Source organism: Homo sapiens, chromosome 4 (assembly GCF_000001405.40).
Source record: "Homo sapiens chromosome 4, GRCh38.p14 Primary Assembly".
NCBI classification, from domain to species: domain Eukaryota; kingdom Metazoa; phylum Chordata; class Mammalia; order Primates; family Hominidae; genus Homo; species Homo sapiens.
The window spans coordinates 2,649,166-2,665,657 of record NC_000004.12 but is presented as its reverse complement, the minus strand read 5'-3'; the positions used below and the strand labels follow the sequence as shown (position 1 = coordinate 2,665,657).

At 44.9% G+C, this 16,492-nt stretch overlaps 1 protein-coding gene across 14 annotated transcripts in view, besides 2 other annotated features; it reads right to left on the bottom strand.

Moving 5' to 3' along the window:
* FAM193A (family with sequence similarity 193 member A) overlaps positions 1-16,492 on the bottom strand; it is a 197,199-nt gene that overhangs the window by 66,916 nt on the left and 113,791 nt on the right. For 9 of the 14 annotated variants that reach the window (NR_046336.2, NR_046335.2, NM_001366316.2 and 6 more), the window contains 5 exons: positions 7,778-7,855; positions 5,988-6,100; positions 5,604-5,846; positions 2,667-2,820; positions 2,370-2,549 (listed from right to left, as the gene is read on the bottom strand). Coding sequence is in view for 12 of the 14 variants with exons in the window: in NM_001366316.2 (NP_001353245.1) it covers positions 2,370-2,549; positions 2,667-2,820; positions 5,604-5,846; positions 5,988-6,100; positions 7,778-7,855 (768 nt within the window). In the remaining 2 variants the exon portion in view is untranslated. Of the gene's footprint in view, positions 1-2,369; positions 2,550-2,666; positions 2,821-5,603; positions 5,847-5,987; positions 6,101-7,777; positions 7,856-10,528; positions 10,601-16,492 lie in introns of all 14 variants that reach the window. The other 5 variants (XM_011513590.3, XM_006713932.4, XM_047416342.1 and 2 more) reach the window with 2 other exon arrangements.
* Positions 6,137-6,636: an enhancer, noted in NCBI's record as "H3K4me1 hESC enhancer chr4:2660749-2661248 (GRCh37/hg19 assembly coordinates)". NCBI's record gives its function as "activates a minimal SCP1, AML or CMV promoter by ChIP-STARR-seq in naive H9 embryonic stem cells {active_cell/tissue: H9 hESC(naive)}" and the evidence as "EXISTENCE:reporter gene assay evidence [ECO:0000049][PMID:30033119]".
* Positions 6,637-7,138: an enhancer, noted in NCBI's record as "H3K4me1 hESC enhancer chr4:2660247-2660748 (GRCh37/hg19 assembly coordinates)". NCBI's record gives its function as "activates a minimal SCP1, AML or CMV promoter by ChIP-STARR-seq in naive H9 embryonic stem cells {active_cell/tissue: H9 hESC(naive)}" and the evidence as "EXISTENCE:reporter gene assay evidence [ECO:0000049][PMID:30033119]".

Genomic DNA, 16,492 nt, shown 5'->3' with positions numbered 1-16,492 from the left:
ATACACCTGTAGTCCTAGCTACCTGGGAGGCTGAGGCAGCAAGACTGCTTGAGCCCAGCTGTTTGAGGCTGCAGTGAGCCATGACTGCAGCAGTGCACTCCAGCCTGGGTGACAGAGTGAGATTCTGTTTCTTAAAAAGAAGAAAGGAAGGAAAGAAAAAGAAAAGAGAAGGGAAAGGGAAGGGAAGATTAAAAGCATTGCATCCAGATTGGAAAGGAAGAACTAAAACTTTATTTGCAGACAACATGATCTTGTATATAGAAAATCCAAAGTAATCTACCAAAACAACAGCAAAAGGACCTACTAGAACCAACCCTACTAGAATAAACAAGTTTAGTAAAGCTGCAGAACACAAGACCAATATAAAAAAATCAATTGTATTTCTATGTATTACCAATGATCAATTGGAAATCAAAATTAGAAAATACCTTTTACTGTGAATGAAAACACATAATACTTATATATTCCAGACACAAAGACTGGAATTTTTTTAGAACTACTGAGAAAAATTAAAGATGACTTAAATAAATGGAAAGATAAAGCATATTCACAGATTAGAAGACTCAATTTTGTTAGGATTGCATTCTCCCTAAATTGATCTATATCATCCCACAAATAAAAGACCACAACCACATCCAGAGGATTTCACTGGAGAATTCTAAATATATATTCAAGAATTCGATGCAATCCCTCAAGATCCAAGGAGGCGTTTTGTAGTTGACAAGTAGATCCTAAAATTTATATGGGAATGCAAAGAACTTTGAGCAGCATAAACGATTTTGAAAAGGGTGTACCAGCCGGGTGCAGTGGCTCACGCTTGTAATCCCAGGACTTTGGGAGGCCAACACGGGCGGATCACAAGGTCAGGAGTTCGAGACCAGCCTGGCCAATATAGTGAAACCCCGTCTCTACTAAAAATACAAAAAATTAGCCGGGCGTGGTGGCGTGCACCTGTAGTCCCAGATACTTGGGAGGCTGAGGCAGAATTGCTTGAACCCGAAAGGGAGAGGTTGCAGTGAGGCGAGATCGCGCCACTGCACTCCAGCCTGGGTGACAGAGGGAGACTCCATCTCAAAAAAAAAAAAAAAAAAAAAAAAAAGAAAGAAAATAGAGAGAGAGAAAGGTGTACCAAGCTGGAGGGAAGACCCTATCCCATTTTCCTAAACTTACCATAAAGCAATTGTCAAATGCACTATGGGTGTAAGGACAGACACAGAGATCAAATGAACAGAATGGAATGTCCAAATATAAACTCTTACATTTACAGTCCATTGATTTTCAATAAATTTTCAATAAATGGCCAAGGCAATTCAATAGGGTACTTCTGACAAACCGTACTGAAACAATTGGATATCTATATATGCAGAAAAGGTGAATTTATATCCTCACCTCACAATAACTAAATGCTGAGTCAAACAGAATCTAAGAACTAAAATTATAAATCTTCTAAAAGAAAACAGTTTTGTGTTAGGCAAAGTTTTCTTGGATAAGACATCAAAAACATTATACGTAGAAGAAAAAACTGGTAAGGAGATGTGGTCAGACTTCCCAGATAGACCTTTCAACATCACCTTTACCATCTGAGTGTTACATTTATATTACCTAATAAAATAAATCAGCCAAGCACTTTGACCTTCATTTGTTCTTTCATTTAAAGACTGCTTATTATTATTGTTGTTATTATTATTTTTTAAACAGAGTCTTGCTTTGTCGCCCAGGCTGAAGTGCAGTGGCGCAATCTTGGCTCACTGCAACCTCTGCCTCCCAGGTTCAAGCAATTCTTGTGCCTCAGCCTCCCAAGTAGCTGGGATTATAGGTGCCCACCACCATGCCCAGCTAATTTTTGTATTTTTAGTAGAGACGGGGTTTTGCCATGTTGGCCAGCCTGGTCTTGGATTCCTGGCCTCAACTGATCCACCCACCTTGGCCTCCCAAAGTGCTGGGATTACAGGCGTGAGCCACTGCGCCCGGCCAAAAACTTGTTTAAGCATCTATTTATGAAATTCTGAGAAAAAAAGCTAATAAGGTACCCTCACCTTTGGCTAACAGAAGAACAGATAATGAACAGGAAAAACAAACCTTTCCTGAAATTTTAATATTCCACTATTTTTTTTTAACTCCTCTCTTTGCTTCTATACAGACAAAAAAGGCCTCCACAGAGCTGCTATGGGGTGTTGCGAAATCAAGATTGATATTCGAGCAAGAAAAACAAGATTCAAATGGAGATTGTAAGTATGCCTTGACTCTCTTCAGTTCTAACCTTCAGAAATTATGGGAAACAAAATAATTTTGTATTCAGTAATGCTCATGTTTAGAGAAAATACACACAGAAAAAGAGATCCTTGGCAAAACAGCAAGCAAAGTCCTACCTGCTGTGTTGGGTAGGATGGGGGTGGACTGTCTGCTTTGCTCTCCTCTGTCCTGGGGCTCCTGCTTCCCAGCACTCCATCTTCCTTCGGGGCCCCTGGGGGCTCCCCACTACTCTCGCCGTCCGCTTCTTCATCATCAGCTTCTGAGGAACTACTGCTGGTACTGCTTATCTGAGGAGACTTTAAAGACAATCTTTTGTAATTTGCACTTTTCAAAACAGAGTAATATAAAATATTAAAATGTCAGACCATCATTTTATGTCATTTATTGTTGCTACGAAGAAGCCATGTCCATACCTCATCCTTCAGGGCCATGTTTTCCCCGCCACCATTCAATTCGCTGTGGATTCCATTCATGTTGGCCACCACCTCGGTATCATCATAATTACTCAATGGATAAATATCAGCAAATTTGGCTGACAATGGTGCAACATCTTCATCATCACTACAACTGACACAAGCAGAGATGGTCACTGTGAGGTCATTCAATTGTGAAAGACAATGAGTAAACCAGCCACTAAGCACAGATATTTCCTGGACAGATCACGGCTTTCATTTACAAAGAGTATTAGTTAAGTATCATTCCTACCACTAACATTTCTTAGTAACCTCAACATGAGAAAAATGCTTGGAAGATTAACATTTGTGCCATTTGGAAGAGTAAAAAACAAAAAACAAACAGAAAAACCTCCAAAAGTAGAAATATTAAGGAAACTACAAAAATTTAACCAGACTGATTAACGTTTCCATTTGACCTGAAGAGCGCTGGTATAAAACTAGTCTCTCTGCTACTCCCAAGACAACACAATTTGTGATTAAAATTAAAGGGGTACCGATGGCAACCTTAGGTGTTTAGTGTTTGCTTTTTAAACCTTAGCTGTTTAGTGTTTGCTTTTTCAACTTAGGGCTGAAATTTTCAGAAATAGTCAGTTGAACAAAACTTTAAAGGCACTTATGTAACAGAAGACTAATTTTTTTTGCTTTAAGGCCAGTCATGGCCTGGTCACTCATGATCGTAATTAAATATCAGCTTTAGCAAGACATCTAAGCAACAGGCAAATGAAAAATTTACTGAAATTAATTTTATTTTATTTTATTATTTTTTTGAGGCAGTGTCTTGCTCTGTCTCCCAGGCTGGAGTACAGTGGCACAATCTCGGCTCACTGCAAGCTCCACCCCCCAGGTTCACGCCATTCCCCTGCCTCAGCCTCCCGAGTAGCTGGGACTACAAGCACCCGCCACCACGCCCGGCTGATTTTTTGTATTTTTAGTAGAGATGGGGTTTCACTGTGTTAGCCAGGATAGTCTCAATCCCCTGACCTCGTGATCCGCCCGCCTCGGCCTCCCAAAGTGCTGGGATTACAGGCATCAGCCACTGCACCCGGCCTGAAATTAATTTTAAACAGATTTCAAGGCTTTAGCCTACAGAGACCACTTAAGATGCAGCTCTGGTGCATTAAAAGAGCTGGCACATTTAAGCTCAGTGCAATAAGATGCTCCAAGGTCCACAAAAACATGCACTGAGTCCATCTTCAGCCTGGGCACACAGCAACCTCCAGAAGGCAAAACCCTAGGAACTCGTCGTGATCTCACTTCCTAGAATGAGTGAAGAGTGTCCAGGACTACCAAATTCCGGTGTCTTTTCAACACATTACAAGTAACGTGCTAGAGTCTGGAGCTCACCAGAGGTAAGTACAAACAGCACCCACAAGGTGCAGAGTCCTAGGGCTTCCTGCAGGCCCACTGCACCTGGGACGCTGCCTGGGCCAATGCTCATACACACTCCTGAGGATGACCATAGGCACAATTTACAGATGAGAAAACTGAGGTTCTAGTGAAGTAACTCAGCCATTTGCTCCATGTGACAGCAGGAGGCTTCACCAGCCCTAGCTCCGTAAAGATCCAACCCATAAGATCCAGGAAGTACTGTGTGGTACACTGACTACAATCACATTGTTCTTTTTAACCAACTTAGAAAAGGCACCAAGAAAGAGACAATACAAATGAAAAGATAACACTGGAGATTTTCAAATCATAGTTTACATTTGGAAGACATTGATCACAAGCTGCTGAAGGCCCAGATGTCCCGAGAACCTAGGCTCCCCGTAACTGGTGATGGGCAGTTCCGGCCCAAGGAGAAAGGCTCCCACAGCCAATTTCTTCCACTACCACACGTGACACAAGAGACCATAACTGACATCAGCAGCTGTGACAAATGAACAGGGATGAAATTTTCCATCTTAAATTTTCATTAGGCTATATATGTTTAATTTTTATGTTTCAGTAAGAAGTTGGATAACAGCCAGCTGCAAAAATGTCAACACTCTTTCTTGTGCCCTGGAGAGTACACAGTGTCTCTAAGGCAATAAACAGCAGCCTGCAATCTTTGTATGAAGAGAGTCAGTGAGTTTAAACCAGTCCTTTCAGAATTATTTTGTCTGAGAACAAGCCCAAATTGAAAATGGAAAGACTGAAGGAAAACGTCAGTCACCATGAGAAATCCAGACAGAAGGAATGAACACAAGTCAGTTGGTCAGAGAAATCCCAGAAACGCTGCATAGCCAAGGTCAGGAACAACAATCTCTCCCACTGCACACTTCCACATGGAACATGATGCCTGTGTGCTCTACGATACACGTAAACTAAACCTAAGCTGACTTTGGCAACTACATATGATCAAGTGCAACCCTTTTGGAAATTAGCATGTGAAGCCTCCCCAAATGACAGGGTCACAACTCTGAAGAAATCTGGGAACAGCCAACTACAATGTGAATTGGTGACAGCTGCACAACAATGTACTTCTAATCATGCGGGAACATGAAAAACAGAAACCTTCAACTGCTTGCTAAAGCGATCACCTGAGTTCTTAGCAAGACATGAAACAAGCATGAGTGCTGGGCTGACAGGGAGACAGGACAGACGGCGGACTGGTCACCCTTTAGGAGAATGAGGAGATGTGAGGCCGGAATTAGAGACACTTCTTCTCTGCATACCAACATGTTTTTTCTTTACTGGCCTTTATTAATTTACCATGTTTTTTTTTTCCCAGATAAACAGTGTTAAAAGTTTGGGTTTACTGATTTCATGTTTTAAAAGCTGCATTAAAAACCTCAGGGTCCCTTGTCATGAAAAGCACAATAATGATGTTCATACTTCTGTGGACATTACTGTATGTATTTCTCATTACTGGGGCGACTTAAATTTCGGAAACTTTATTACAAAGTCACAACTTACAAAGTTGGTGCCGAGCCACTGTCTGTGAGGATGAGCCTGGGGTGCTGCTGAATTGTGATGGGAGAGCTGGAGCCGGACCCCGAGCTTGCAGATGACACACTGGGCGGGCTCCTCTCAGCAAGATAGTCAGGAGCAGGATCCACTTGAAGTGGGAGCTGGTGAATGTGGATGTCATCAGTGACGGGGGGGTCCATGATACCACACGTGAGGATGTGTGAGAGACTGCAGTCATCGCAAGCACATCTGATCAGGAATTAAGGACAGTTACCAAGCCAACCAATGCACAAGACTAGACCATGCTCTCTAAGGGTCGGTTCTAGGCCTCCACTCAGCCCAGTGAAGGTCCAATGGGCCAGTCGTGCTGACACCACAACCCAGCCTTACCTTCTCCTGTAGTTGCAGTTGGGGCAGTCGGGCATGCTCAGCCGGGACGATAACATGTGCCTCATGGTGTCTGTGAAGTTGTTCTCGCCAGTAACTGCTTTCTTATTGGTTAACTAGAGGAAATTTTAAAATGCTTTAATCTTGCAAGACCCTTCCCCGAGACATGGCTCATTATTTTTCAGTAATTCTGCTGACATGTATCATGTTCACGGGCACTGCTTCCTCAGCGGGACAGGACCAGGAATACAGGGGCAGCAGACCTGGAGTCGGCAGCAAGCTGGGGGCTGAGCTGCAAAGGGCTCGGGTACCAGGAGACCCTAATCGCTTTTGTCTTCAGCAAACATGCTGCAGTGCGCCCTCACAGCACACACCTGATGCAGAAACCCGGCCTTTACCCTGTCTGCCATGTGCTTGGTACTTGCAAGGTACTGAGAACAGAGCTGTAGGAATGAAAAGTGGCACGTGGAGGGCAAGGGGTCGGCCTCGGAGCTATTGAGGAAATGGCACCTCAACTTCTAACAGACAAGGTGAGCATCTGCATTTCAAAGGAGAAGGAACTCTGGACCCACTCTGGCAATGGGACAGGTGGCAGCTGGAAGGGCCACTCAAAAGGACGGGATGGCCGGGAAAGGTGGCTCACGCCTGTAATCCCAGCACCTTGGGAGGCAGAGGCAGGCGGATCACCTGAGGTCAGGAGTTTGAGACCAGCCTGGCCAACATGGTGAAACCCCATCTCTACTAAAAATACAAAAATTAGCCAGGCGTGGTGGCTGGCACCTGTAATCCCAGCTACTCAGGAGGCTGAGACACGAGTACCGCTTGAACCCGGGAGGCAGAGGTTGCAGTGAGCCGAGTTCACGCCACTGCACTTCAGCCTGGACGACAGAGTGAGACTTTGTCTCAAAACAACAACAACAACAAAAGCACAGGGACACATGCAGAATGGGGAAAGGGAAGAGGTAAGCATGCCACAACACTGGTGCCATCTGTATACCTGTGGTGCCCAGAGGAGACCACGGGCATGCAAATGTGGAGACAGGCATGGGGTCAAGGCCAGGGAACCACCAATATTTGCAGAAAGACCAATGAAGTTGGAGTTCGTAAAGGAGATGGAGAGAAGTGTCAGAGAACAGGAAGAGAGTCGATGTGGCACGTGGATGGGAGATCAGGGGAAGCCAAGTTTCCAGATGAAGCCAAGGGCCCCCAGACCAGATACAGGACATCACTAGCAAGCTCTGCCCAACAGCTCCAGCAAAGGTGGAGCACAAGCCTGCCTGGAGGAGGCACCGCCAGGAAGATGAGGAAGGGAGAGTCCAGATCTGCCAGCTGCCATGTTGAAGGCATGGCACCTGGCAATGTCTGGAGATCTGAGCGCTCTGTCTGGGGATGCTGGGCCCCCATTCCAGCTCTGGGACATCAGGCAACATCCTTAACCTCACCCTAACACCCTCCTTCATATGTAAACTGCAGATGGCACCATCTGCCTCATAGGGGACTGTGGGGACTCAGGTAATATCCTTTGCAAAATACCCAGAGCTGCTGTGGGATAGAGAGGCCACTCAATACACATGGGTTTTTCTTGAGGCGTATATGGAAGATAAGGAAATAGGTGAAAATTAGTTTATCTTGAGATTAAAAACACCATCTTGAACAGTTTTTAACGCTGGCAAAACATGCCAATGTGGTCCTCCAATGCTGTTCTAACAAAGCACATCAACATGCAGAGAAGTCATTTGCTGTCAGGACAGATTTCTACTTCCTTTAATTGCCTCTCTTATTGACAAGCTTACCTGTTCTTCAATGAATCTTCTTTGTTTAAAAAGCTCCCAGTCTTCTGTTAACATGCGCTGCTTGGTTTTCATTGTCATCTAGTAAGGGGATGTAAAAAACAGAAAAAAAAGAAAAACTTTAATACCTGCGACAATTATACAAGACATTTTCAAGAGGAGACTTTCTTAAAATGATATATATGAGAGAAACATCATCTGCAAACAGAATAAAGATACAATACTACAAATATGTTAACAGGTATTTCTTTATTTTACTCAAACTCATCACAAGTACTTTTCTCACATGAAAGACAGAGATGAATAAACAGTAAAAAGAGAAATCAAGATATTCTGACTAAATCTGTCAATACAGTGGATGAACATTCACTATTTACTGAATGCCCATTATGTGCCCTGAATGTGTTAGAAATAAGCAAGATGATGGCAACTCGGTCCTGCCACACGAAGAGCTCAGACTACAGGAAAGGAAGAGCTATTAACAGGCATATGAGACTTAAAAAGCAAAGCAAAACAAAACTAACAAAGAAGTTAGGAGTTAAAGGCAAAAAGAGAAATTACTGAGGAAACAGAGAAGCATATGTGATTAATAAAACCGAAAGTCGGTTCTGTAAGCTTCTGTCAAGGCTGAAAAAGGGGGAAAAAGGTAACATTAAAAAAAAATCAGGATTGAGAAAGGATATGGGTACATATGAAGATTGTTTTGTTTTGTTTTTGAGACTGAGTCTCGCTATATCACCCAAGCTGGAGTGCAGTGGCACAATCTCGGCTCAATGCAACCTCTGCCTCCTGGGTTCAAGCGATTCTTGTGCTTCAGCCTCCTGAGTTAGCTGGGATTATAGGTGCCCGCCACCACGCCCAGCTCATTTTTCTATTTTTACTAGAGACGGTGTTTCACCATGTTGGCCAGGCTGGTCTGGAACTCCTGGCCTCAAGTGATCCACCTGCCTCGGCCTCCCAAAGTGCTGGGATTATAAGCGTGAGCCACTGTGCCCGCCTGGCCAGAAGATTGTTTTTAAACTGTGAGACAAAGTCTCTTTATAAGTTGATACTTTGTAACATCTAAAGAAGAGTTACAAACAAGGGGCTCATGGGCTATTTTGTCCGACTTGCACTTCACCTCTTTTTAAAAGTGTTCGAGATTTCACCTAATAATCCAGATTTCTGGCTTCTCTTGACAACCTGGCAGCTCTGGTGGCCCTGTGAAGACTGTTGGACCCAAGTGGGGACTGCCCCTAACAGAGAACAGGAGGACACACGCACGCACACACAGGTGTGGCCTTCGCTACCCATGCCCCAGGCTCCACTAGGGCCTATCCCAACTGAGGGCACTTTCAAGGTGAGGGTGGTGACGGCCATGAGCACCACAGGAACGCTGGGGCCGCTCTACCCTGTATCATCCATTTCCGTGACTTTCCCTAGCCCTGCAGGTGTGAGTTTACAACCCTTTACTAAACGATATGGATAACTTCTTGAGCCAAATTCTATTTGTAAAACTGACTCGAGGGAGAAGGAAACCTGAAATACACTAATAAATGTCATATAAATGAAAAAGGCAGACAAGATCTATAGTTCTTGTTCTTCTTCCCTGTAAAAATGAATTAGGCCCCAAAGTTTTACGGTAGGTTCTATCAAACCCTTCATGGGACAGAAAATTTAAACTATTCCTGAAAATTGCAAAAACACAGAGTTTCTCAATTCATTCTATGAAGCTAGCACAACCTTTATACAAAACAAGTAAGACCTCAAAGACCAAGACAACTCAATTATACCTCAGAATATAGATATAAAAGTCCTGGCTGGATGCAGTGGCTCACACCTGTAATCCCAGCACTTTGGTAGGCCAAAGCAGGAGGATCACTTGAGGCCAGGAATTTGAGAACAGTCTAGGTAACAAGGCAAGACCCCCACCGCTACAAAAAATTTCATTTGTTTGTAAATAAAATTATCTTTGAGACAAGGTCTCTTGCTCTGTCACCAAGGCTGGACTACAGTGGTATGATCACAACTTACTGTAGCCTCAACCTCCTGGGCCTATGATCCTCCCACCTCAGCCTCCCAAGTAGCTAGGACCACAGGCACACACCACCACACCTGGCTAATTTTTTTTTCCTTGTAGAGATGGGGTTCTCCCTATGTTGCCCAGGTTGGCCTCAAACTCCTGGGCTCAAGCGATCCTTCTGCTTTGGCCTCCCAAAGTGCTGGGATTACAGCTGTGAGCCACTGCACCAAGCCAAAACTTAGCTGGCACACTGGCATGTGCCTATGGTCCTAGCTACTCAGGAGGCTGAAGTGGGAGGAGAGCTTGAGCCCAGGAGTTCGAGGCTGCAGAGAACTAATATCTTGTCATTGCACTCCAGCCTGGCCAGCAGTGTGAAACCCTGTCTCTAAAAATAATTTTATATAGCTGTCCGAATACACACACACACACACACAGGCGCACACGCACACACACACACGTCCTAAATCAAATATCAGCTAATAAATTTAATAATGGAATAAAGAATGACATATCATGATCTACTAGGGTTTCATCCCAGGAACGCAAGAATGTCTCAAAATTAGGTAACCTAAACTCTTAACTCATACAGAAATTGATATAAGAAAAATCATACCATCAATTTTGACATCTTCCTGTTTTATTTTTTAAATGATAGCCTAAATCAACTAGAAATAAAGGTAAACTTCTTTAATTTGCTAGAAAGTATCAAAAGTCTGTATGGCAAGCATCAAACTTCATGGTGAAACACTCACAGCAGCCCCTCGAAGCCAGGACTGGACAAGGGTGCCAGTATCAATGCTCTTATTCACACTGGTCTGAAGGTCCTAGTGGAAGCCAAAAAAAGGGGACAAATGCTGGAAAAGATGAGATAAACCTATCATTATTTGTAGAAGATACCGTGATTTCCTAGACTCCCAGATTCAAGACTCAACTCAAAAACTACAAGAGTTAATGCCGGCATCTGGCGAGATGACTGGTCACAGGGCATCTCCATTTTCCCAGTTTCCAGCATGAATGCTTTAAACACACATTCCCCACTCAAGATGCCGGTCATAGCAGCCCCTCAAACTACAGACTATGGAGGCACAAAATGGGTCAAGATTTACAAACTATAAAACCATAATACAATATATTTTTAAAAACCTTAAAAAAGAGTGACATACCATATTCTTGGATGGGAAGATTCAATATTGGTGCCAATTCTCCCTTTTCATTGTATATGTCTGCAGTTATTATAAAATCTTAGTGTACAGTGTAAGAGTTGTTTGATAAATAACATCAATAAAAACCTCTTCCTTGACTCTCTCCTCACAGCCTCAGGGAAATTTTTTTTTTTTTGGAACAAATTTGGGTACCTGCAGGCTTATGTATGTGTCAAACAACAGAGAAAGAATGAATTTCAGACAGCAAACATAAAAATAATTGATTTCAAACTTCCAGCCTGGGCAACACGGTGAAACCCCGTCTCTACCAAAAATACAAAAAAAAAAAAAAAAAAAAAAATTAGCCAGGCATGGTGGTGTGCGCTGTGATCCCAGCTACTCTGGAGGCTGAGGTGGGAGGGCTGCTTGAGCCCAGCAGGCAGAGGTTGCAGTGAGCTGAGATGACACCACCGCCTAGTTGAGAGAGTAAGACTCCATCTCAAACAAACAAACAAAACCTACCAACTCTCTTGCCACATACATACATACTTATTTGTGAACAGAGACTCAATTATTTTACACGTATTCAACATTTTAAAGCCTTTGAATCAGTATAAAATTTCTAAAATGTTATTGATTAGAAGCAACCAATGTTCATTCAAAGGTTTTAAATTAAATAGTGCATTAAAACAGCTCCAGTGGAGAGTGGAGTGGCCACAAACCAAGAACTCCAGGGGTCACTGCAGTTGCCCCCAAAGCCTTCAGGGGAACATAGCCCTGCTGACATACTGATTCTGAACTTCTGGCCTCAAGAACTGTGAGCATAAATTTCTGTTGTTTTCAGCTCCCCACAACCTCCCACCCATGCATACATGGTTCCAGAATGACTATTATTCTCTGGATGTTACTAAAGTGGCTCAATTTCCCTCAATTGTATTAGTGGCAGATTGTTTCTCATGGTTTCTTCACAAGACAGTGAAAATAAAAATGCATCTCCTGGCTGGGCATGGTGGCTCACGCCTGTAATCCCAGCACTTTGGGAGGCTGAGGTGGGTGGATGATGAGGTCAAGAGATCTAGACCATCCTGGCCAACAGGGTGAAACCTTGTCTCTACTACAAATACAAAAATTAGCCGGGCGTGGTGGCGGGCGCCTGTAGTCCCTACTACTCGGGAGGCTGAGGCAGGAGAATTGCTTGAACCCAGGAGGCAGAGGTTGCAGTGAGCCAAGATCACACCACTGCACTCCAGCCTGGTGACAGAGAGAGACTCTGTCTAAAAAAAAATAAATAAAAATAAAAAGCATCTTCTGGTTGCTTTAGTGAAGAGACTGGTTTTCTCTTTGTAAAAGCAATGTAACATGCAATTTTAAAGAAATACACTTTACTTTTTAAGTGACACTGTTATTTTCTCCCTAGAGAGAACATGTATGTGTTATTTTTACATATATACCATTTTCCCTAGAACAACAGCAATAATACCATATATAATATTTCAAAATAAATGTTTACCTTCAAGAAACAGATACCTGAAGAAATTACTATTCCCAAAGGATTTTTCAGTCTTAGTAAAAGAATTTCCCTAAGGGCATTTTTGTGTTTAGTTACAGTTCAATTGGAGAAATGAATCTCTGAAACTAGAACTTTATCTGCCATTTCCATCACATGTGGAACTAAGGACAGCACCCCAGGCTCTTAGGGGCAGGATGTTATGCTACGTAGGACACCGCTGACCTAAACCCCAACAGGCCTGCCTGGCTGAGACCCTCGGGAGCCTCCTGTCATCTGCAGATGTGGTAACACCAGGAAGCAGTAGTGAGGCTCTAGCCACACGGGGTTTGGCACAGCACTCGGTAACGGTTCATCTTCCTTCTCTTTCATCTTTTTCCCTATGTTATCACTAACTATACTATTTTTCTGAAGTCACCTGAAGGTTACAAGTTATTCACAACCTCAGAAACTTATATCGATACATGAAGGGAAAGCCAGGTGATATGGCTTAGATTTGTGTCCCCGCCCAAATCTCATGTCAAACTGTAATCCCCATTGTTGGAGATGGGGCCTGGTGGGAGGTGATCAGATCATGGGGGCAGATTTCCCCGAAGGTGCTGTTCTCGTGATAGCGAGTGCTCAGAAGATCTGGTTGTTTAAAAGTGTGTAGCACCTCCCCACCCCCCTTCCTCCTACTCCAGCCACGTAAGATGTGCTGGCTTCCCCTTCACCTTCCACCATGATTGTAAGTTTCCCGAGGCCTCCCAGCCATGCTTCCTACACAGCCACAGAACCGTGAGCCAATTAAACTGCTTTTCTTTATAAATTATCCAGTCTCAGGTATTTCTTTATAGCAATGCAAGAATGGACTAATACACCAGGGATAAATCAAGTGAACAGCATCAATCCTACAGAAGAAAAACACCAAATGCAGGAGAAAGGGAGGTGGGAGTTCCATTCAGAAAAGCTTCCAGACTCAAAGCTTCTCTGCAATAGGCCAGCGTCTCCTGTTCAACACCAGGACAGGAAGCACCGACACACCCAAGTCATCTTTGTTGACAGGCAAGGCTGATTTGCACTTAGACTTGCAGACAAGTGCCTCCCATGAAGGGTACTCTGCAAATCCCTGGTAAACAATGAATACCAGGCACAGAGGCCACCAGCCCCAGTCAGGGACAGATGTGTCCCTGAAATGAAATCTGAGATGAGACCTCATGGTCACCTAGTCCAAATACCTCTCCAACTATTCTCCACATTCCCTATCATGGGGAACTCATCTCCACACTACAGCCCACTCTGCCTTCGAACGACCCTTGCAAGGGACTCTTTCTGATCACACACATCTACACGGGGTCTGGACTCTCCTCCTGGGGGCTGTCTGGGACGAGCTGAATGTCTGCTTCACAATGGTCACTTCTTGACGACTCAGGCCAGCAACCTCTTATGCTTCCCTGCCAGGGGGATCCAGTCTGGTCAGAGCTGTCCTGAGGACAGGCAGCGAGGCTGCTACCACACCCTGATTACAGGACCTTCCACGTCTGCCGTGACGTCATGTCAACCTGTCACATTGATATGGTTCACCTTTGTCCCCACCCAAATCTCATGTCAAACTGTAATCCCCACATGTCAGGGGAGGAACCTGGTGGGAGGTGATGGGATCATGGGGGCGGATTTCCCCCATGCTGTTCTCATGATAGCGAGTTCTCACAAGATGTGATGGCTCAGAAGTGTGGCATTTCCCCTCTTGCTCTCTCTCTCCTGCCACTGTGTAAGACGTGCCTTGCCTCTTCTTCTCCTTCCGCCATGATTATAAGTTTCCTAAGGCCTCCCCAGCCATGCGGAACTGTGAATCAATGAAATCTCTGTTCTTTATAAATTACCCAGAATCAGGTAGGTTTTTTGTTTTATTGGTTTTTTTTTGAGACAGAGTTTCACTCTTGTTGCCTAGGCTGGAGTGCAATGGCATGATCTCAGCTCACCCCAACCTCTGCCTCCCAGGTTCAAGTGACTCTCCTGCCTCAGCCTCCTGAGTAGGTGAGATTACAGGCATGTGCCACCACGCTCGGCTAATTTTGTATTTTTAGTAGAGACGGGGTTTCTCCATGCTGGCCAGGCTGGTCTTGAACTCCCGACCTCAGGTGATCCGCCCACCTTGGCCTCCCTAAGTGCTGGGATTACAGGGGTGAGTATCAAGCCCGGTCTCAGGTAGTTCTTTATAGCAGTGTGAAAATGGACTGATACACACACCCCTCCAGGTCTGATGCCACCCTCCAGTGGATTCACCAACACTCAGCTTCTCCATCTGCACGTCTGTTACTGCTACAAACACTAACAAGACTGTGGAGGAGGGCCCTGAGACAGCGTTCTCTGGGCCAAAGGCAAATACCGTTGCTGCCATTAGAGTGTACCGTGGGCGGCTATCCATGCCTACCCAGAAGGTGCTTGGGGCTCCTCTTTTTTTATGCGGTCCTTGGTAAAGGTAGGCAGGGTCCTATGCACTTGGGAGGTTTCAATGACCTAATGCAATACAACTTGACTGCAGCTCATGTTGGCAAGACAGAGACTTAGCAGGTGGCACTATGTCGTCAACAGAGACACTCTTGGATTAAGGAGCCTTTCACGTGCTTCCCACAAGCAGCCTCTCTGGGAGTCTTGAAACCCCGCCCTGCACAGCAGCCTCTCCCTGGGCTTCAGAGCCCTGAGCTCCCATCTCTGCCCCCAGCCAGGGTGGTCTTGGCTTCCCCTACCGCACCCGTGAGGCCAGAGCAGGTGCGCTTCGTTCCCTTGAGCCCCGGTGACGAGAGTGAGCCGGGCAGGAAAGCCGGCCCCTCGCCTTCTGTTTTCCTTCTCAAGGTCTTTCCTTCACAGTGTCTACTGATGGCCTGAGATCTCATGCTCCTCCCTCCTTCTGTGCTCTCAATAAACCACCCTGCGTGGGTGCCATGGGATGTGCTCTAGAGCAGTGGTCCCCAACCTTTTTAGGACCAGGGACCGATTTCATGGAAGACAACTTTTCCACAGACCAGGTGAGGCAAGGGGATGGTTCTGGGATGATTCAAGCTCATCACATTTATTGTGCACTTTGTTTCTATTATTATTACACTGTCATATAGAATGAAATAATTATACAACTCACCACAATGCACAATTAGTGGGAGCCCTGAGCTTGTTTTCCTTCAACTAGATGGTCCCATCTAGGGGTGATGGGAGACAGTGACAGATCATCAGGCATTAGATTCTCATGAGGAGCGTACAATCTAGATCCCTTGCACACGCAGTTCACAATAGGGTTCATGCTTCTGTGAGGATCTAATGTCTCTGCTGATCGGACATGAGAAGTTCAGGCGGTAATGCAAGCAATAGGGAGTGGCTATAAACACTGACAGGCTTCACTGGCTCACCGGCCACTCACCTCCTGCTGTGCAGCCTGGTTCCTAACAGGCCATGGACTAGTACTGGTCTGTGACCCAAGGGTTAGGGACCCCTGCTCTGTGGGGCACCCAGTAACCAGCAGCCCACAGTGCAATACCAACACAGGGACTATTTACTGTCCCTATGCCTATATATTTTTTTCATTTTTTGAGATAGGGTCTCACTGTTGCCCAGGATGGAGTGTGGTGGCATGATCATAGCTCACCACAGCCTCAACCTCCTAGGCTCAAGTGATCCTCCCATCTCAGCCTCCCGAGTAGCTGAAACCACAAGTGCACACTACCATGGCAGGCTAATTTTTGTATTTTTGTAGAGACAAGGTCTATCTATGTCACCCAGGCTGATCTCAAACTTCTGGGCTCAAGTAATCCACCTGCCTCAGCCTCCCAAAGTGCTAGGAATACAGGTGTGAGCCACTAAGCCTGGCTTTTTTTTTTTTTTTTTCAGACAGGGTCTCACTCTGTCACCCAGGCTGCAGTGCAGTGGCACCATCATAGATCACTGCAGCCTCTAACTCTTGGTCTTAAGTGATCCTCCCCCACTCACTCTCTGGAGTGGCCGGAACCACAAACACACGGCACCCAGCCTGGCTAATTTTTTAATTTTTTGTAGAGACAAGGTCTCACTATGTTGCCCAGGCTGGTCTCAAACTC